Below are 23361 nucleotides of genomic sequence, written 5' to 3' on the forward strand. Positions count from 1 at the left end.
TGTTGAAAGAGAAAAAAAAAAATCACACGTTCCCTTTGTCCTCTCTGTCAACGAATGTTTCTACCTTGACTCAGAACGACTAACTTAATGGAGTACCTAGACTTGGCAACCTTTGCTTATTCCTAGACTGAAAAAAAAAGACCCATGATATGTTCGAGTTTTGTATGACTTGCACCTTCTGGAGTAGCTTCAGCTGGGGTGGTGGCATTAGCTGAGGTGGCTTCAGTTCCCTGAAGGTGTTCATTTCTGGGCCATAAAATGAGAATGGCCAAAGAGACGAAGAGAGAATCGAGAATGACTTTTACTTCTAAATCTTTGCTGATTCTGCTGAATGTGAACTGCTACCCCTTCATTCATCAGCCACAGGCAGTCTCAATGCTTTTACTCTGTGTGGCATAATTATCCTCCTTTAAATACACTGTCAGTCTCAGATGTGTACAACTACAGTGTCCTTTTTCTTTAACCTATGCCTTTTTAAAAACACATAGGTAATGAATGAAAATATCAGCACTGTAAATTTTTAAATAATTATAGAAATATTGAGACTAAATATGATTCCCCCACCCCTTTCATTCTGCTCTACACCACCTATGCACAGCCTTGGCCTAAGAGCCACTTTATTAGTCAACATATCAAGAATTCACAACTGTAGTGTCTTCTGGCACTTGCCCCCAGCCTTTCTGACTTCCTGAGCCACCTCTAAGAAATGTTCTAGCATATTCTGACCATATAATGATGCGTTAGCCATTGAATAAAACCATATTAAACCTATGAGAATCAGTCTGACTGAATATAGCTTACAACAAACAATTTTTCACTTCAAAAACCTTATTTTAGCAGAATTGGTTAAAGAAAGTTTCACTGAATTTTTCTTTTTTTTACCATTTTTTTATTGTACTTTAAGTTTTAGGGTACATGTGCACATTGTTCTGGTTAGTTACATACGTATACATGTGCCATGCTGGTGCGCTGCACCCACTAACTCGTCATCTAGCATTAGGTATATCTCCCAATGCTATCCCTCCCCCCTCCCCCCACCCCACAACAGTCCCCAGAGTGTGATGTTCCCCTTCCTGTGTCCATGTGATCTCATTGTTCAATTCCCACCTATGAGTGAGAATATGCGGTGTTTGGTTTTTTGTTCTTGTGCTATTTTACTAAGAATTATGATTTCCAATTTCATCCATGTCCCTACAAAGGACATGAACTCATCATTTTTTATGGCTGCATAGTATTCCATGGTGTATATGTGCCACATTTTCTTAATCCAGTCTATCATTGTTGGACATTTGGGTTGGTTCCAAGTCTTTGCTATTGTGAATAATGCTGCAATAAACATACGTGTGCATGTGTCTTTATAGCAGCATGATTTATAGTCCTTTGGGTATATACCCAGTAATGGGATGGCTGGGTCAAATGGTATTTCTAGTTCTAGATCCCTGAGGAATCGCCACACTGACCTCCACAATGGTTGAACTAGTTTACAGTCCCACCAACAGTGTAAAAGTGTTCCTATTTCTCCACATCCTCTCCAGCACCTGTTGTTTCCTGACTTTTGAATGATTGCCATTCTACCTGGTGTGAGATGGTATCTCATGGTGGTTTTGATTTGCATTTCTCTGATGGCCAGTGATGATGAGCATTTTTTCATGTGTTTTTTGGCTGCATAAATGTCTTCTTTGAAACCAACGAGAACAAAGACACAACATACCAAAATCTCTGGGACGCATTCAAAGCAGTGTGTAGAGGGAAATTTATAGCACTAAATGCCCACAAGAGAAAGCAGGAAAGATCCAAAATTGACACCCTAACATCACAATTAAAAGAACTAGAAAAGCAAGAGCAAACACATTCAAAAGCTAGCAGAAGGCAAGAATTAACTAAAATCAGAGCAGAACTAAAGGAAATAGAGACACAAAAAACCCTTCAAAAAATTAATGAATCCAGGAGCTGGTTTTTTGCAAGGATCAACAAAATTGATAGACCGCTAGCAAGACTAATAAAGAAAAAAAGAGAGAAGAATCAAATAGATGCAATAAAAAATGATAAAGGGGATATCACCACTGATCCCACAGAAATACAAATTACCATCAGAGAATACTACAAACACCTCTACGCAAATAAACTAGAAAATCTAGAAGAAATGGATAAATTCCTTGACACATACACTCTCCCAAGACTAAACCAGGAAGAAGTTGAATCTCTGAATAGACCAATAACAGGATCTGAAATTGTGGCAATAATCAATAGCTTACCAACCAAAAAGAGTCCAGGACCAGATGGATTCACAGCCAAATTCTACCAGAGGTACACGGAGGAACTGGTACCATTCCTTCTGAAACTATTCCAATCAATAGAAAAAGAGGGGATCCTCCCTAACTCATTTTATGAGGCCAGCATCATTCTGATACCAAAGCCAGGCAGAGACACAACCACAAAAGAGAATTTTAGACCAATATCCTTGATGAACATTGATGCAAAAATCCTCAATAAAATACTGGCAAACCGAATCCAGCAGCACATCAAAAAGCTTATCCACCATGATCAAGTGGGCTTCATCCCTGGGATGCAAGGCTGGTTCAATATATGCAAATCAATAAATGTAATCCAGCATATAAACAGAACCAAAGACAAAAACCACATGATTATCTCAATAGATGCAGAAAAGGCCTTTGACAAAATTCAACAACCCTTCATGCTAAAAACTCTCAATAAATTAGGTATTGATGGGACGTATCTCAAAATAATAAGAGCTATCTGTGACAAACCCACAGCCAATATCATACTGAATGGGCAAAAACTGGAAGCATTCCCTTTGAAAACTGGCACAAGACAGGGATGCCCTCTCTCACCACTCCTATTCAACATAGTGTTGGAAGTTCTGGCCAGGGCAATTAGGCAGGAGAAGGAAATAAAGGCTATTCAATTAGGAAAAGAGGAAGTCAAATTGTCCCTGTTTGCAGATGACATGATTGTATATCTTGAATTTTTCACTTTTCAATTTGTGATTTTAAAATAGTGCAGATAGTGTCAAAAAATTATACAACCAGAGGGGCTTTGAGGGAGCCTTCAGGAATTATAATCAGAAACCTGATTATCAATACTATTTTAAGAATAGCTGAAAAGAAGAATCCACAGCCTCCTACAGTTCCCACTCCTGTTTTTAATCATTTTTACTATTTTATGTTATTTGTGAAGCTGAGAGAAAAAGCCATTAGGGACTCTGACTGGATCAGTAAACTGTACAAAGCTTAGCAATTCAAATATTCACCACAAGTTGGGGTCCCATATTAAATACAGGCTTTAAAGGATTTATAAAATAAAATAAATGGTAAATATTTCTTTTATTTTTTCCTAAGAGTCCAGAAATCCAGAAGGATTGTAAGTGAATGAATATGATTATTGACTTTTAAAAGAACATATGACAAGCAAGTAAAAGAAAATTCAAGAATTTCACTAAGAAATAAACAGGATGCAATGCACTGTCAGTCACAATAGACAGACATCCCAGACATGTTTAATTGTTAAACAATAGTAGAAATACTAAGCAATTAATAAAAGTTAAAACATATAAAGTAACCAAAACCAAACACAATTTTAGCACTTACGTTCAAATTATCTAAAAAAGAACAGCCCACAATTATCAGTATCAAACTATAAAAAATATTCTAGTATTTATATATCATTTCTAAAAGCAATCTCAGAGAAACAGGAATAAATTGCTTATTTTTGGTTGCTTTTAACAGCTCTGAAGAGCATCATCTTGATATATATGCTACTAAACAAACTTTTAGACTGACCAAAAAGAATGATGCAAGTCCAAAGACCAAACAATGTGTATTTATTTTGCTAGAATATTACATTTCATTATATTGCCACTAAGAGATTTGTGATCCCATAGTCCATTTCTTTGGGTTGCACTAGTCTCTTTGTTGCTCCAATGCATTATTAATAAATTTTTTTACAAATGCAACCAAGTGATTTCCGTTGTAATATTTACTTTTTTAAAAATTAATGAAACTGAAATTCCTTTCTATGTGTAAAATTTTTGTTAAACTTTTAGAAGACTTTAGTCAGTTGCAGAATTTTTTCTTGTATCTCTTCCTTAAATTTTCTGTTTCTAAAGCAATTCTCCTTCTGTTCATCTTTTACAGATTTTACAATTAACTGGTTTGTGATGTCCTTTTCTTTCTTTCTCCCTCTTTCTCTCTTCTTCCCTCACTTCTCCTCTCTCTTAACTTCTAATTGCCATAGGATAAATCACTTCTCTTGATGCATATAAATTTATCAGTTGCTAAGGTAGCAAATTATTCAAAGCGTAAAACTTGATGCATAGCAATTAACCTTAAAATACTTTGTCATCACACTTTTGATTCCTGGAGAGGAGCACTATTGATAATACCTTTATCCTTGATATGTCAAGTGTTCTAATAATCATAGAGACTAAGTAAATATAGGCTTTTATGTATATCTAATGTTGCTTCTACAAGCCACAATATAGCTTCAATATTGATATTGCCCACATTATGAAAGAAGATTAATATTTGCTACTTTTTTAGAAAAAAAGTTTCCCCCTAAAAATTGAATCTATGGCTCTGTTTGCTGTTTTCATGAGTCAGTTTTGCCTCTAGAAACACTCTTTGAACTTCCATAGTTATATGAAAGCATAAAATGCTATATGCTATTTTTAACTCATGTGTTCTGAATTGTAATTGTATATAATTTTTACTTGAGATATAGTCTTTCTAGAAACCAATTTCTCAGCATCAGCTAGAGCCAAGACTTTTCAGAATTTTAAGGAAAAGCATATTTCATACGTTGAAGTCATAGGTCCCTTAAGACAAGTTCTATTTTGGTATCTACATTTACAATGGCTGAGACTGTCACAATCGTTCACCTTCATCATTAAAAAGCCATATAAACTTCCTTTCTCCTCTAAACTTAGAATGTTAAATGTTGGCCTTGTAAACTAACTTTCTAAGTCCTTTAAGGTTTATGTCCAGGGATGTAGAGGCTAGGTAACCAGTAAGGCAAGGTCAGATCTTAACAATGCAAGAAGCCTCCCAAACTTATCCTTTTTCCAAAATTACTGTGAAAAGCAAACTTTTCATAAGCCCATTATGAGTACTTCTGGAATAATCACTTATGACTTGTATAAAGACTATTAATAGTTTTTAAATGAGGTGGAAATAGGAAATGGCAACAGATCATGCCTATGTGGCTCATCCAGCTAGCCCTCTCTAGATTAGCTTTGGTTCAAACCTAGAGGAGTCCCTCTGTGATGCATGAATCCACAGGATCTGTGCCTGTCTCAAACATGTCTGAATGCTGGTGTCTGAGAAGAGCAAAGATTTCCATTCTTTTGAAAGGAGCTTCCAGTACCTACCATGTTGCTCTGTTGTGAGATACCCTCTAGAGGTGGTGCTGAGGGAAAGCCATTGTGCTTTCAAGTCACTAAAGAACCCGATGTGAGAGACATAAGAAAAACTCACTTAGAGATGCCACAAGCCACTAACTACAGTGGATTCTATTAGCCATTACTATAAAGGGTTGATACTCCTGACTTGGAGCTACTAAAGGAAGTAGTCCCTGAAAGTTAATAAAAAATCATTTAGAAAGCCCTCCAGATGGGACTCATGTCCACTACTAAGAGTGAACAGTAACTGGAGCCATTATCACTGTGAGCCACAACCAGGAAACCATAGATGAGGCAGGAGGAACTTTCCAGCCCCTTCTCATCCCCTTCCCTAAATAAGAGGTGCCAATGTCCCCTTATTTGTTAGGAATTCAGAGGAAAGATGGCAAATATTGTCCTTTCAATATACTCTAAACAGAGAGGAAAAGAATTTTTTCTGCCAATAAATGTGGTATAGTTGGAGACTCAGAAACTCTCAATGTGGGCTTTGCTGGATTAAAGACCTTGAGTTGTAGATTGAGTTTCAGACTTTTTTTAAGAAGTAAAAATAGAGATGGGGTCTCACCATTTTGCCCAGGGTGGTCTCAAACTCCTGGGCTCAAGCAATCTGCCTACTGCAGCCTTCCAAAGTGCTGGGACTAAGGGAGTGAGCCACCGTGCCTGGCAGAGTTTCAGACTTTTGATAATTAAAGTAACATTTATTGATGCTATACTGTGTCATCCATTGTTCTATTTTATATGGACTCAGTCACTTCATCTAACAATTCTATAAAGTATGTGCCATTTATTAACCCATTGTACTGATGAGGAAAAGTCCATAGAAGTTAACTTGCCCAAGGTCACCAATTGTAAATGGTGAACACAGACAGGTAAACTCAAGAGCTATGCTCTTGACCACTGCTTGCACAGTGTGGTAGACAGAAAAAATGGCTTCTCAAAAACATCCTAGGCTGGACACAGTGGCTCATGCCTGTAATCCCAGGACTTTGGGAGGCCGAGGTGGGCAAATCACTTGAGTTTAGGAGTTCAAGACCAGCCTGGGCAATATGGCAAAACCCTGTCTCTACTAAAAATATAAAAATTAGCCAGGTGTGGTAGCACATGCCTGTAGTCACAGCTACGCAGGAGGCTGAGGTGGGAGGATCACCTGAACCCAGGAGGCAAAGGCTGCATTGAGCCATGATCATGCCACTATACTCCAGCCTGGGCGACAGAATGAAACCCTGTCTCAAAAAGAAAAAAAAAAAAACCTAATTATTCAGAACTGTGAATATGTTACATTACATGGCAAACAGGACTTTGCAGATGTGGTGAAGTTAAGGACCTTAAGATGAGAAGATTACCCTGGATTATTCAGATGGGCTCAGTGTAATCACATGGGCCTTAAAAATGGAGAATCTTTCCTAGCTGCAGTCAGAGGGAGATGTTACAGCAGAAAAATGGTCAGAGAGGTTCACCATTGGTAGCTTTGAAGATGGAAGAATGGGATCATGAGCCTAGGAATGTGGACATTTCCTAGAAGCTACATAAGGCAGAGAAATGGATTCTCCCCCTGAAGATTCCAGAAAAGAATGCAGCCGTACCAAAACTTTTATTTTAGCCCAGTGAGACCTATGTTGGACTTCTAACCTACAGAACAGTAAAATAATAAATTTGTGAAGTTTTAAGCCACTAGGTTTATGGAACTTTGTTACAGCAACAGTAGAAAACTAATATATATTGCCTTATTGAAAAAGAGGGTTAATGATTCCCTTCCTATGGGACTTGACAGAAGCAGAGAGAATGCTTCATGGTATGTAAATTAAACTTGAAATTAAAGTTGCTGCTACTTTTATCTCCTGGTTTTATGGGTTATTATATAACAGCAGTTTTATGATAAAGTTTTATGATAAAGCTATGCAATAATAAGCTATTATAATTCTTCATTTTGACTTACATTAGTACATTACATAGCTAGTTTTAAATGTATTGCATCATAATTTGTCCTTCATTTAGCATTCTGCCAAATGTTATAAGAAACTGAACACATTTAAGATCTTGCTAGCGGAGTTGAAAGATTTGTAAGATGCCATTATTTGTATATTTGATACACACAAGTTGGCTTCTTGTTGTTTGGAAGTTAGGAGATAGCTTTTCACCAAACAGTAGGAAGTTATTGTTTCTAATTTTTAGAATACAAACAGACTGATTATTTCCCACCAAACTCTGTCATCAGTGCCAAAGTATTCTTTAAAATCTCAGGATAAAATGAGTTGTTACAATGAGCTTTTTCAAAGCAGGGTCAACATTTTCACATTTTCACATTTCTCATCAATGTTCATCATAAAAGAGACCACAAAATGGGTTTAGATTTATCTGGTCTCTTTCATATAGCAATGTTTATATGCCTAAATACAATTAAAAATTAGGCCACTGACCTTTGCAGGCAGTCTTGGGAGATATTTCACCTCCACAAATAGTGAATGCCACAGACCATGATCAAACAAAGCAGTCATTGCTTTCTGCTTGGATTAATGTGGCAGTATGCTGGCTGATAGGATATACTTGGAAAAAAGGAAACTATACCAACGGGCAGGACCATTTTTTTAGTTAATGAAGCTTATTGATTGAAAAGACATAATAAAGTGAAATCATAAAACTTTCAGAAAAAAGCAATACATGCTTTGGAAGACTCAGGCCACCATAAGAGTAAGCAAAGCAAGTCTTCAGAACAGAGGTTGAATCCTCCAGAGCTATGTGATGAGTGAAATTAAACCTGCCACAGACACCACATTTGTATTCTTTCAGCAGTCAGGTGTGGAGTGTTGCTAGTTCCTCCCAGCATTGCAGATATGATGACCTTAATTCAGCTTCTATGATCTGGATTCATACAAACATTATTAAAACTGTTCCTGTACAATGAGCTAAAGAAAGGCAATCAAAATTAACTGAGTAGCAGTCATTTTGACTGCTGAGATAAAATAATAGCCAAAAACAACTTCACTTCCAGCAATCAGAGATGTAGTGGCTTATTTTGGGCAAAAGAGTCATTCTGCCTATTGTACAGAGACCCCAGTAGCAAAGGAGGGGCTACCAGGGGAACTGATTGTATATATAGTCTCTTCAAATGATGGAAGATGAGAGCTATTTGCCCAGTGTGGAAAGAACCATGGGGATTATATTTGTTGTCACAACTAGTGCCATTCACTGGCCTGGTTGATTAATCATTGAGCCTTATTTAACTGTCTTTTTTCAAACAACTAGTTTTCTTTTTCTTTTGAATTGACCATTTTTACAGCTGAATTGGCCAACGCTGTTAAAGCATCACTCCTGAGTGCCACCATTAACCCAAATTTTTTAAGTTTGTTTTATTTTCTTAATCTTATAAGTAGTGCATAATCATTGTAGAAAAATAAGAAAACACAAATAAGGAAAAATAAAAAAAAATCTGATGTCCCATTACTGTGTATTACCACTGTTAATGTTTAGAAGATATCCTTGCAGATATTTGTCCACACAAATATATATATAAACACATTTCAGCAAAAATAGCATCCTACCACACACATTGTTTTATAACCTGCTTGTTTCACTAAACATTTGTGTACTTCTACATCAGCCATTTAGGACTTCACTTTTAATGACCACATATCATTCTACTGTATGGATTTACTATAATTTCTTTAATCAATGCCCTGTTATTAGACTGTTAAGTATAGTTTGTAATTTTTGTTATTATAAATAATACTATGATGAACATATTAGCACATGTATATTGCATATTTGTCCAGTTATATCCTTAAGTCCTAGAAGTCTAATTACTTGGTTAAAAGTTATACAGTTTTCTAGAAATTTTGATGCCTATCTGTAGTGTCATCTCTAAATAAGAAGGAAAACAGATTAAAATATGAAAGATAAAAATCATTCAAAAGTCTTAATAGGTTTCATAAACTTCTGAAAAGCCAAGTGAAAACACAAGTAGAAGTATTTTAGTTTGGGTCTGTTACCACTTACACATACACACACATATACACACACACACAAAGTTATGAGCTTAAGTGAGTCATTATGTTTACAGATCAGCAAATAACATGCTTTTCTAAATAACAAGCAAGAATATCAAAATATTGTCTTCTATTTTATTAATAATGCTTAGGAATAAAAAACTATTAACAGTTATATTGAAATATAGTTGATATTCTACAATTTAAAGTGTACAATTAAGTGATTTTTATGTGTTCAGAGTTGTGCAACCATCATGATTATCTAATTTCAGAACATTTTTACTATATACAAAAAGAAACTCCGTACATGTTAACAGTTACTCCCCAGCTACTGGCAAATGCTAATCTGCTCTCTGTTTCTGTGCATTTGCCTATTCTTGATATTTCACATAAATGGAATTGTATAATATTTGGCCTTTTGTGACTTGTTTCTTTCACTGGGCATAGTGTTTTCATAACGTTTTCTTCTATGTTGTAGCATGTTTCCATACTTTATTCCATTCTATTGCCAAATAATATTTCATTATATAGATATATACCACATTTTGTTTATCCATTCATCAGTTTATTCTTGGAATGTCAATTAAAATCTTATCACAATCATGTTTAAAATCTTTCAGTAGCACCTGAAATTAGTAAGAAGGTTTATGAAAGGCCATCTTAATCTTGCCCTAACCTACTTTTTGGCCTGATCCTCTGCTGCGCTCCCAATCCCATCCACTACCACCCTTCCATCAGCACTCCAGCCATAGCAGAACCACTTGAAATTTCCCAGATATAACAGGCACACTCACTTATGTGCTGTCCCCTCTCTCTGCAATTTCCTTCTTCCCCTTACCTGTGTGGATGACTTTTGTGTGTTCTTTGTTATTCAGCTATCAGGTATCTTCTCCTCTTGGAAGAACCTAACACACAAATATAAGCTGGGTGCAACATATTTTTACAATCTGTTATACCTCTATCATAACACTTGTCACAATGTTTATAATTATTGGTTTTCTTGACTTCTCCTCCACTAGATTGTGAGCTCATTAAAGTCAGAAACTATATTCTGTCTATCTCTATATCATGAGCCATCCAGGCCTAGCATGTGATAGACATTCAATATATGTTTTCTTTCTATACATGGTCAATGAAATTAATTTGACTTTCTTATAAACTGCATTAATCAATTTAGGGATTTTATAACCACATAGTCATAAACTTTATTTAAAATGCATGTTCCAGTTTGCTTATGTTTAATTTGTTCATATACATTTTATATTAAAATTCTCAGTAACATATGAAACAATATGCATTAAAATAAACCAGTCGTATATATAATTCTAGTAAAGCTTTTAAAGTATACAATGAACTTATAACCTATCAAATAGAGATACTTTTTCAAATACCTTCAACTGCCTTTAATGGAGACATAGTTAAGTAGAATAACTGAAGACAAATTCAGAATTTATACAAAAAATGATTCAGCATCACATTTCAAATGATTTAAGGAAAAAATCATTAAGAATATGCCATGAGATCAATTTATAAATCATAATTGCACTTTCAAAACAAGATAAGCTTCTTTTTGCAAGCAAAAATGTTGCTTCTCTTAAACTTGACTTGGAGAGTGCTGCCTTGCTTAAAATACTATAATATTCTTTGAAGCCTACATGCATAAACTGTTTCTGGATCTGTTTTCACTGTTTTCTATGTGAATGAAGATTTGTTTAAGTAGGCCTGGTTCTTGGTAATAGAATCCTAACCTCTGTTACTTCTGACTTATAGGGTATCTTTGTTACTAGGGTTCAGCCTGATGGGCCAGCATCAAACCTACTGCAGCCTGGTGATAAGATCCTTCAGGTAAGACAGATAAAAGAAATGCATGCAAATGCCATACTGAGACAAATATGTAACCATGTTACCAAGTTAAATGATTTGAATTAAATGATTGAAAATAAGTCCTTCTCACATTGCTTATTTGCCTTTATTATTTTGGGGCTGAAAGTCAAGTCAAAAACAATTCAGTCTGACAAATCTTATATCCCTAGCACCTTACACAGTACTTGGCACATGACAGATGTTTTGCATATTTTTGTTGAATTGAATGGAATTACTTGATAATATAAGAAATATATATATTATATATATATATTAATCTATGCATAGTTATCAAGTAAGAGTAAGTTCCCAAACACAGTATGTGTGTGACTTTCATGAGGGAGAAGGAACTGGTCCATATTTAATTTCTCAACCACAGGCTTATTACTGTTTGAATGCTATGAAATATATAATACATCATTCTACTCCCCCTGCTTAGATAAACAAAAGTTTAGCTCTATATAAGGTGACTTTTAAAAATGCATTGTGTGATGGAAGATGACTTTCACTAACTTAAAGCTCTGCATATCAGAAAAGGTTCACCCCAATAAACAATTAAGCAAATACTTTACATAAACTCATTTATTTGACTTTTTTTGTCCTTCTCTCTGAATTCACTGTCTTTAATTTTTTGCTTTGTTTCTTATCAGTGATTTGAAGCTCATTAATTCACTTCCTATATAAGAGGTGCATAATCATTTTCTACATTCCAAGGAAAAGCTCTTAAGCATTATCGATGTATTTAAGCTTCAGTATTTTGACTTAGAACCCCAGAAATTTCCCGTTATATAAATAGGTGGAACTACTTGATACTGCTGATATTTGACCATCTGCAACAGTTATGAAATGGCTCAACATAATATACTGAACATTTAGATTCACTGAGAAGACAAGACATGTGAAAAGAACCTTAGATCAGCTATACAAACACAGTTGACATGTGAAAAAGGAACCTTAGATCAACTATACAAACACAGTTTAAAAATGCAAGGATCCCCTCAAGTCAGCTCCAAGGAGATCTTCTATCTCCAATGTACTGCGTTCTCTCAGAAAGTCCTAGAAAAGTAGAAATCCTAAGATTGCTTTAACATTTCATTCTCAGAAATGTTTTTTGGTTTTTTTGTTGTTGTTGTTTGGTGGTGGTGTTTTGTTCTGTTGTTGTTGTTGTTTTGTTTTTGTTTTTGTTTTTGTTTTGAGACAGCCTTTCACTCTTATTGCCCAGGCTGGAGTGCAATGGCACGATCTCGGCTCACCACAACCTCCACCTCCCGGGTTCAAGCAATTCTCCTGCCTCAGCCTCCCAAGTAGCTGGGATTACAGGAATGCGCCACCACACTCAGCTAATTTTTGTATTTTTAGTAGAGACAGGGTTTCTCCATGCTGGTCAGGCTGATCTCGAACTCCCAACCTCAGGTGGTCTGCCCGCCTTGGCCTCCCAAAGTGCTGGGATTACAGACATGAGCCACTGCGCCCGGCCTCTCCGAAATATTTTAAACTAATTAGCAAGATCACAATCAGCTACTCAAGTTTTCAAAAATGATAGTTCTCTGAAAAGTGTTTAAGCTACTTCAGCCTGTGCCAATGTCACAATAGAAACACCACCCAGCAGGCCTGAGTTCATTCTATGCAGGCAGAAGATGTAAATAGCAGTTGGTCTTTTGAGCTAGAGCTGAGAAACAATAAAAACCACACATATAATAATCTAAAATTTTCCTTTACCACTTTATTATGGAAGTTCTATATTTTTGGATAGCCTAACTAGTCCTTTGATCTTAGATATTTTAAATAATGTCTATGGGCCTCAAATTCATTATGTGTAAAATGAACTGCTGTTTATATTATATCTGAAATCCCTCCTAGCTCAAAAATTCAACTCTTTGAAAATTGTATGAATTGTAGTGAAAAACAGCTGAGAATAAACTAACAACATAACTCTCTAACATTTGGTAAATGCTGCTCATTAGCAAAGGAAATGGCTAATTTTTTTCTCCACTGAATTTCAAAGAAATTATTTTAAATCCTAGAGTCTGGAAAAAAATATAGCCAATTAATCTCAGATCTCTTACCTACTAGAATGTGAAGCTGGGTAGAGAAGTATGCTATAGCTTGACACAACGTTGCAGAGTTCCTTCCTCCATGACAGAAGCAAAATAAAGATTTTTCCCTTTTGCTAGAATTCAGAAATGTATATGTAAGTATTATAACAAAATTATACACAGTATATCTTGCAGATGGAAACATAGGTTAGTGTCAGGCCAGACATGATGGCTCACACCTGTAACCCCACCACTTTGAGAGGCAGAGGCAGGAGGATGGCTTGAAGCCAGAAGTTTAAGGCCAGCCTTGGCAGCACAGTGAGACTTGGTCTCTACAGAAAATTTAAAAATTAACCAGGTGCAGTGGTGAGCACCTGTAATCCCAGCTACTAGGGAGGCTGAGGTGGGAGAAGTGCTTGAGCCCAGGAGTTGGAGGCTGTAGTGAGCTGTGATTATGCCACTGCACTCCAGGCTTAGTGACAGAGCGAGAATCTGTCTTAAAAAAATAAAAAATAAAAATAAAGACATTAGTGTCTACTTGCAAGGTATTAGAATGCTCTTTTCTGGCTATGAAATTCTAGAATTATATGTGGGGACGTGAGGGTTATGAGGGTTCAGTATTTCTAATCCTGGAGAGGTAAAAACAACAGCAAAGTGCAAGGAAATGGATTCCTCATGCAAGAAGTAGGAAGAAATTTTCAGCCAAGAATACTGCAGAAAAGCTGCACCCAAGATGTCTCTTCTCTCCACAAATGACTATCAAGGATGTGACATTTTATTTTTGCCATAGAACTCACTTGTACCTAGTCCAATAAAATCAAAGCCCATTTTCAATAAAGGAAAAAGTACATGGACTTTAATCAAATAAATTATGTATTTACAGTTTCAGTCATACTAATTAAAAAGCATACATGGCCAATTATACTTTCTGAAAGAAACGAGAATGGCTAATTCTAAAATGAAATTGTTTGCAATATCAGATGCTAAGAAGGCAAGCTATATATTTATCTATATATAATACTATTGTCTCTTAGTTTAAAGAATGCTGGGAAAAAATGGGTTAATAACATTGAGTTATCTATCACTTAAAAGATCAGAATCTTGTGTTTTCAATGGAGCGAATTTATTTACAAAGCTTAATGGCAATGTTCAACCTGGAGAATTGAAGTAAAAGAAGAGAAAAAAGAAAAGAATGGCCCTCCCTAAGTGACAATACTTTTGGGGTTTAATCTAACCCAATAGCAAATAGCAAAAGATATATGAGAGAGCACAAGAGATATGTCTTTCCTAATCCCTCTTCCCAAACCCAGAATTTATTAGATCTCTTTCTTTCTCTATAATTCTTTATACCATCCACTCTTTTCTTCTTCAGCTATGATATTATGAGCATGTTATTTGAATTACATGAAGATGTGTGCAATAAGGGATGATGTTAATTAAAACACATTCACATCATTTTTCTGTTGTACTATTCATTTTCCCGGAATAGACACATTATAATTACTCTAAGACAGTGTGGCATATGGAAAGAGCAACTGACCCTTCATAGACTCACCTTCTGTTAAGTTCAATTATATAACAGTAAGAGAAAAAACTGAAAGCACATGGAATATAAAAATATGCTAGAATAAGCCATGTGAATTTGCCAATATTTGAAATGACAGTTTTGTTAATTTATCGTCATAGTTTCTTTTTTCTAATGTTCTTTCCAGCTAAAAAATTCAGTCTAATTCATTATACATTTTATGATTCAAAATATATATGAATACAGAAAATCTAGTAATTATAGTTATTCTGTTGAAAAGATGAATAGACTGGAAAAAAATACATACTGTACCTGATAGTTAACAACAGATTCACAGTTGTAACCTAAAACTCACTCGCAAGTATGTCCTGTTCAATCAGGGAAGCCAAACCCTCTCCTCTTCATTTACCCACCCCCATCTCCATACATAAGCCTAATTTTGGCAAGAAAGAGAAATTATATAATTTATAGAGATTTAGTTGATGACATCTAGATTTTGCCAATAACCAAAACAGATTTTTCTAATATGAGATATATAAATAAGGTACTTAATTGAAGATAATTTTATAGTCTCTTTTACCTTGTCATCATTTTAAGGGTTTTGGAATTTGCAATCCAAACATACTCTTTGTCTATGGCTGTATTTCAAGATGCTAAAAGGGAATAATCAATGAGATAATAATTCAAACAAGCTAGATATTTTTCTTTTTTTCTTGTCTTAGAAAGAACCTTGGCCCAACAATTCATATAGACAGTTCAAGAAACTACTGTCAACAATAAGTCTATCAACAAATACTTGGGCTATTAGCAGAGTCATTATTATTGCACTTTTTTTACTTTTTTAAAGTTAGTTTTTGGTAAGTTGTTCAGCTCAGAGCATCTTCTCTTGGCCAAAATCATGGGGTTTGATGCCCATTAGACCTATTATCATTGCTCTGTTCTATAATCACTGACAATTCCACTCCACATCCTGATTAGTGTCTTATAAGGGAATATCATTAGAAGCCCCTTAATAGGTAGGAGGGAAGTCATGTGTCCTAAGGGAGCTAATAGCTAGGGAGACAAGGTGAATGTATGCACTCATTAGGAAACTAATAAAGTACTTGATTTTGTGATGTATCTAATAAATGTTGTAGCTGTGTTAAGGGAATGGAGTGATTAATATAAAAGTGTGTATCCTGGGATGCAGAGAGGATGGCCACTCACAAACAAAAGTACAAGATGTAAGACCCTCCTCTTCTTACCTCCTCCAGTGAATCACTGAGGGAGAGGGAGAGGAGACCTGTGTGGCAGGGTGCACTGGGGATCATGGAGATCTCTGGTTGTGGAGGGAGGTGAAAGAAGGGAGTTTATTCCTGGTGGAGCAGAAGTTCCTCCAGGCTTAACAGAAAGAAAAGGAGGAGGAGGAGGAGGAATATCTGTGGGCTAGACTGGCATGAGTTTTCAGGAGCAGGGGTAAGAGGTTTATGCTAGAAAGGGTGAATATGGAGTATAAAGGAGAGAATATTGGAGAGGAAGACCCCAGACTCGTGTGTTAGAGTCATGAAGAAAGGAAACCCTGGGATTTTAATAAGTTTTTCATGGACTGGGAGAATTTCAAACATGGAGATGAGTTGGAGCGAGGCTCAGGATGGCGATAGGGGGAGACAGCGAGCAAGATATGGCATTCAAGGCTCAGAATGGGAGAGGTAAGTTCAGACTCCACAAAGAGAAGTCTAAATGAAATGTCTGTCTATGGCTGGATCTGTTGTACACAGATATATATACAAACACTGAATCACGCTTCCTTGTCTGAATGGAAATTTGATGGCTCTCTTAATGACCAGTAGGTGTGATCAGCTTGCTGAGAGAATTTTCTTGCTTAGGTAAAGCTCACTTATTCAACAGCCTCAGCTATAAGAAAAAAAACATAAGCTAGAAAACAAACAAAGTGCTTCTGAGGATCCATAATTAATGTCACAAAGCCCATGCACTAAATCTCATTCCTTTTACTCATAAGAGAGAATTTATATCATACCTGGGAGTCTTTTATCTAGTTGTCCAGACCACCAAGGTGAAAGCCTTTGGCTCCAGACTCATTGCCAGAAGCAAGAAGTCATAGCCAACAGCTTCACTCTGCAGTAAGAGAGAAACTTCTTTTAAAAGCGAGAAACAGAAGAGAACAACTTCTTTTGAAAGCCAGAAACAAGATTTTAAAAGCACATTGTACTTTTAAAGTAAAAGCAGATTGTACTTCTAAAATCTTGTTTCTGGCTTTTAAAAGAAAGTTTTGTACTTTCAGTATAGAACAGTTTTCTCAATGACATTTTTTGACATATCTTCAAAAAAAAAAAAGAGTTCATGGTCAACTAAGTTTTGAAATCACTTCATACTCTATCCCTTGTTTCAGGACTTTACACTGTACTAAACAGGCTAAGAACTCTGAGAATTCTTACAGATATATTTTTCAACATATTTAACCATACAGTCCTCTTTACCAAAGCATCAATTAACCACTTCCACACAACACATTTTGGGAAATGTTTGTTACAGAAACAAACTAACTGGGCCATGTATGTGCCTAAGAGAGTGTTGATGTTCACAGTTATTACCGTAAATCATTAAGAAATGGTTAATGTTCATTTTCTGAATTTTAAAAAATTCTTTAAAAAAAATCTTCCAAAAAAAAACCTGAAGAGTGAGAAATTGTTTATGGTTAAAATGAAGTGTTGGACCCTTAAAAAATAAAATATTTAAAAATTGTACTAAAGCATTTCCCAACAAGGCCAAGTAAGTTCCACATTTCTATAGTTTATCTTATTTGTGGTTAAAAATCAAAAGCACCAGAGACACTGAGGGTGGGGGACTATGGAGGAATAATCACATAACTTTTAATGTTTAGGTAAATAATTGCTTATAATGATATAATACATTGAAGAGTAAGATTTTAATACAATTGGATTAGAAGGGAACTAGAAATAGGTTAAAAACTATGTTGATCAGGCACAGTGGCTCACACCTGTAATCCCAGTGCTTTGGGAGGCAGAGGCAGGAGGATTGCTTGAGGCAGAGGCAGGAGGATTGCTTGAGGCCAGGAGTTCAAGACCAGCCTAGGCAACATAGCAGACCCCGTCTCTACGAAAAAAATTAAAAATTAGCCAGGCGTGATGGCACACATGTGTAATTCCAGCTACTCAAGAGGCTGAGGTAGGAGGATCCTTCAAGCCCAGGAGGTTGAGGCTGCAGTGAGCTATGATAGAGCCATTGCACTCCAGCCTGGGTTACAGAATGAGAACCCATCGTTAAACTGTCTTTTAAAGTGTGGTTTTATATGCCAGATTTTGACTGCATATTTTTATACATTTAGTTTTGTTCATAATATACAAAGTTCTTGCACAGAAAACCAATAAAAATGTTGAGGAAATGCTTTTTGAAAATCAAAAAATATTTTGAGTTATTTAGTAAAACATGAAAACCAATAAAACAAATTAAGTTTTTTAAGGTGACTCTATCCTTCATAGTTTAGTTAATAGAAAAGTAACATCCATTAAGTGTCTTTATTGTGTCATTTAAATCATACAACCCTGCAAGATATCTATTACTGACAGATGTTCGATAACTTATTTGAGTTCTTCCATTGTCAACAAAATAACAAGCAGAGAGAGACTCTTTAAAAGAAAATGGTGTTTATTTGGGAATAGAGCATTGAAATGGGAATACATATGCCATAGTAAACTGTGTATGTATTCAGGAAGGTAAAGAAAGACAACGGTTTTTAAAGGAAAAAATAAGGATTATGTAACTACTTTTAAATAATTATCCTTGACTACAAAGATCAATAGCAAGGATGATGCCAGTCCAAGACTGGACAACCAATTGCTGGGCAGATGTCCCTGCAGAAGCATTTTTTGTGTAAGGTTGCAATGGTTTTTGTGTAAGGTTGTGTTTTTGCAGTCTTTTGTGATAGTTTTTGTTATCGTTTTGTATATCTCATACTTGGGTATACAAGTATGAGAACCCTCTCTTCATGGCCTTCCCCGCTCTATTTGCCAGGTTTTTTGTTTTGTTTTGTTTTGTTTAACACTAGTCACTCTATTTGATTCTGACAACTTTCACACCATTACGCAATACTGATTTCTCTGGAGCAAATTTTGCTGATAGTGTCATATTTATTACATTTTCTAATTTATTTATTTACCTGGAAAATGTGCATCAAATGCCCACTGTGTACAAAGTATTGTGCCAAGCAATGTAAACAATGTTATATGAATGTAACCAAGTTCCTGCCTTCCACAACCTAGTCCTGGAAATAGACATACCCAAATTATACAGAGCAGGAACAAAGCAGGAAGAGAGATAAAAAGAGCTGAATATAAAACATTTGATAAAATGAACCTGTCATTTAAGAGCCTGATAAAATGTCATTTAAGAGCCTGATAAAACATTTGATAAAATGAACCTGTCATTTTTATCAAATGAGCCTGTCATTTAAGAGCAAGCTCTTCATCAAAATGGAGACCAGCCTGGCTACAAAGAGCCCCCTGAAAATTAGGGGTTGATTTTGCAGTTATTCTTTTTGTGAAAAGTAAAAGGAATGTGGCTTGTTGGGAAATTGGCTTGCAAATCAAGGTAGGAAATTTATTTGTTGAAGATGATCATTTGATATGTTTGATAAAAAGAAAACAAGCATTCAAAAATCAGAGCAGATAAATAAATTTATTCAGATTTACTATTTATTATCAGTTCCACACCTGAGTTTCTATTCAAATAATTCAGTCTTCAGTTGAGTATATTCTATCTTGCCATATCTTTTATGAGCCTTAATTCATGAGAAATTCAAGCTGCAGTACATGTGTGTACTTAACACAGAAGAGAAATTCTTGCTGGGCGCGGTGGCTCACGCCTGTAATCCCAGCACTTTGGGAGGCCGAGGCAGGCGCATCACGAGGTCAGGAGATGGAGACCATCCTGGTTAACACGGTGAAACCCCATCTCTACTAAAAATACAGAAAATTAGCCAGGCGTGGTGGCAGGCGCCTGTAGTCCCAGCTACTCGGGAGGCTGAGGCGGGAGAATGGCGTGAGCCCGGGAGGCAGAGCTTGCAGTGAGCCAAGATCGCGCCACTGCACTCTAGCCTGGGCGACAGAGCAAGACTCCATGTCAAAAAAAAAAAAAAAAAAACACAGAAATTCTTATTTATGTTTTGTTCTGCAAAGGTTTTTTTTAAATACTAGAATAAAACTCATTAAAACTTCAAACTTTCTCACATTTACAAAAGCAATGTAAATTTTTCATATGAACTCTCTAAGAACTGAACGTCTATAATTCAGGTTTTTGATAGAAAGGAAAGTTTTTTAAATAGCTTGGCATAGAGTCAATATAGTATTGATTATGGAGTATACTCAGCCCTAAATATATCCCAATACTTAATGAGAGTACTCTTATCAGATTAAAATTTGAAATGAGAATTAATTCTAGTTAGTTAATGTGAAGCACAATGAGGATTATCTGAGATTCCTGCTCTTTCTCATAATACCTGGCAATCATCATTGAACACCATGAAGGCTTGCTCTTAAGGCACTAATTTGGTCACTGCATTATTTCATTTTCCCTCATCCTAAGAGCTGTAGGCATTCAAAGTGCAAGATATCAATGTACTAATATTTCTCTAACATACAAAATTTATGTGTACTGGTCCTTTAAAAAGGATTATCCTTTGGGTGGTGAATTTAAATCAACCAGAAATCACATGCCCATATCTCTAAGCTGATTTCTTTTTTTGGAGTTTAAAATGAACTGTGCTGTCCTCCCTGTTGGATAATCCCACCAACCCTGTGGCCAGGCCTTCTCTGAGCTATTTTTAAGCTTAGAGCTTTGGATAATAAGAATGCAACAGAATTTCTAGGAAAATTACAACATCATCTGGACTGTTTCTGCAATATAAACATCTATAATTTATCCATTTAACAAAACATTTACCAGAAGGTAATCAAACATAAATCCAGGAGAGAACAAGAGAGGAAATTCAGAAACCAAGTGTGTTTTATGATAGATTGATGAGCTGTAATTGCAAAGCTCTACTTTTTGTTGGAATTGCAAATACTATTTTCATTAACCTTCAGTCTTTTCATGTCTAAATCATGAAAAGAGACAATTAAAAAACATTTTGTGGCACAGAAGATATCAAATAAAAAATTAAATAAAGGAGAGAGAGCTTCTGGAAATAATGTAATGATTATAGTAAAATGTTCCTTCATACTTTCAAATCAGCTAAAGCTAGAAACCCATTAATTACATATTTTTTAAGGATTAAATTTTCAGAATATCTTTTCCCTTTTTAGATTGTTTTCTTGGTAACTTCATTTCAACTTAAGCCATTTATTTCTCATTTTTCATTAGGTTGCAATTTCCTCAAAATTGTACACATTTTATTCAAATCTATGATAGTGTGTTTATATAAAACATATAGGTAGCCAAATGCAGCAATAAAATTTAAATTTTTTATTAATTTAACATTTGTTCTTCAAATCGTCTTTTGCATAGTATGCATGTATTTACTAATATAATAGACATGCACGTAAATCATATGCATTTATTTTTTCAAAGCATCATTGGGTTTATACCCTGCAATGAACATTGCACAGTACCACCATTTATTTCCTCAGCCTCTTCTTCTATGCACACACACACACACACACACACACACACGCACACGAACAAAAATGCAAAACTCCATTAGTTGGAATATTGTGATTCTTCTGGTCTTTATTTTAACTGGAGAAGCCCTACACGAATATAGTAACATAGTTGTTTGATTCCCCGTCTGAACTATCCAAGATGTAAGCCTGATAACCACATTCATTTTAACAAATACAATGTCAATTCATTTTGCTCTTCTGTCCTAAGAAAGAGTAAGTTTCTTTGGAACTGAGATTTATTCTATTATCTCCTTCCACTCAAAAAAAAAAAATGGAGATTCAGCATTTCTGTAGATTTTTAACTTAGGACTAAATGTTATTTCTACCAATATTTTTAGAATAAGTTAAATTAAATGTGATAGAAATCTGAATGGGAATCATAGTTTGGCAACCACTGTAAAGAGCAGAATTATCTTTGGAGGTGATACAGCAACAATTTTTTAAGGGAAAAATGTTCATTATTTTATCATGTCCAGTGAAATGTCAGCTCAAATTACTTGACATGATTGTGGTCTTATTATTTCAATGAAGTAATGAAAGAAACAAGAAGAAGGAATATTATGTTATCAGGTGATTCAGCCTTAGCCCTTTCCCTGGTTGTATGACCTCAGACAAGTTGTTTGGTCTCCTTAAAATGAAGGTCTTTCATTTATAAAATGACAGGATTAGACTAAACCAACAGGTTTCACACTGGGCTTTCATGAACAATGGGGGGTGGGAAGGTATTGGCAAGTAAGCTGGTTCACTGGATTCAATCTTTCTTCCACCTCTCTCCCTTTCTTTGTCTCTCTCTAAAAAGATCTGTCTAAATGTTCTACATATTGGGCTCTCTTCCTTTTGAAGAAGAGGTTTTTTGAACTAACACCTTGTTTAAAAAAAAATAGCCCCTCTATGTAAGTTTATTTTTATGGTTGCTTCCCATGCTAAAGCCTATGGTCTAAAGTCGCATGTTTTGGATTTGGTGCTTTTTTTTTTGTTTCTTAGAAAAATGATTCCACACATGAACCATTTTTGAACGCTTTATTCTGCACATACTGTTACAGAATTTACCTGAAAAAAAAACAACTGTTAACATACTGAGGGCTCGAGGAGACTCTAGGAATGAGACAAGACAAGGACTGTGGTCCTTTGGGAATCACACTTGTTCTATGCCTCAGTGAAACAGCAAAGAGAAGATGTCCCTCTCTTCTTTGCCCTCCTCTGAACTACTCCAGCACTTTATTTCCGTCTTCAGATATTAATTCAATTCAGCATATATGTACTGAGGGCTCATTCTACATGCGGCATTTTATGTTATTTTTAGTTACGTGCATGACTTATTTCCCCTTCTGAATGGCTACTTTTTGATTGGAGCCTTCCTGTTTCATCTCTTTCTTACTACCCATCCCCAGTGCCTAGCACAATGCCTATGGAAGTGAGTACAAAACAGACATTCTTTAAAAAAAAAAAATGCTTAAGTAATCACATTGAGAGCCGACTAACCTTCTTTGAAGATCTTTCATGATAAAAGTACCACTCAAAATTAACAGCTATGATTAATTTGCTAAGTTTTATACCAATTTCGCCCTTAACACTGATATTTTTAACATTGATACGATGTCAAGTATGATGATGAACAACATACCATTCATGGCCTCCAAATCCTAGAAAATTTTTTATTTCTTTAACTGTGAGATATTTAAATTTTGAACAATTCCCTGAAAATTCTCAGTGGATTTTTAATTCATTGCAATTCTAGGTTTGAGTCTGCAGATAGAGAAATCTGAGCACTCACAAAGTCACTATTATGGTTTGACAATCAAGAACTCCATTATTAAAGTTCAATTTTAATTTCACAATTAAGTTACAACTTTTGGTCAAA

General features: G+C 35.5%; 1 protein-coding gene across 6 annotated transcripts in view; it reads left to right on the plus strand.

Moving 5' to 3' along the window:
- Nucleotides 1–23361, plus strand: part of LRRC7 (leucine rich repeat containing 7) — a 576443-nt gene that overhangs the window by 528661 nt on the left and 24421 nt on the right. For 4 of the 6 annotated variants that reach the window (NM_001330635.3, NM_001366839.3, NM_001370785.2 and 1 more), the window contains one exon: nucleotides 11170–11244. In NM_001330635.3, coding sequence (NP_001317564.1) covers nucleotides 11170–11244 — 75 coding nt within the window. The remainder of the gene's footprint in view (nucleotides 1–11169; nucleotides 11245–23361) is intronic. The other 2 variants (NM_001366841.1, NM_001350216.3) reach the window with 1 other exon arrangement.

The sequence above is a fragment of the Homo sapiens genome, chromosome 1 (genome assembly GCF_000001405.40).
Source record: "Homo sapiens chromosome 1, GRCh38.p14 Primary Assembly".
In the NCBI taxonomy this organism is placed as follows: Eukaryota; Metazoa; Chordata; class Mammalia; order Primates; family Hominidae; genus Homo; species Homo sapiens.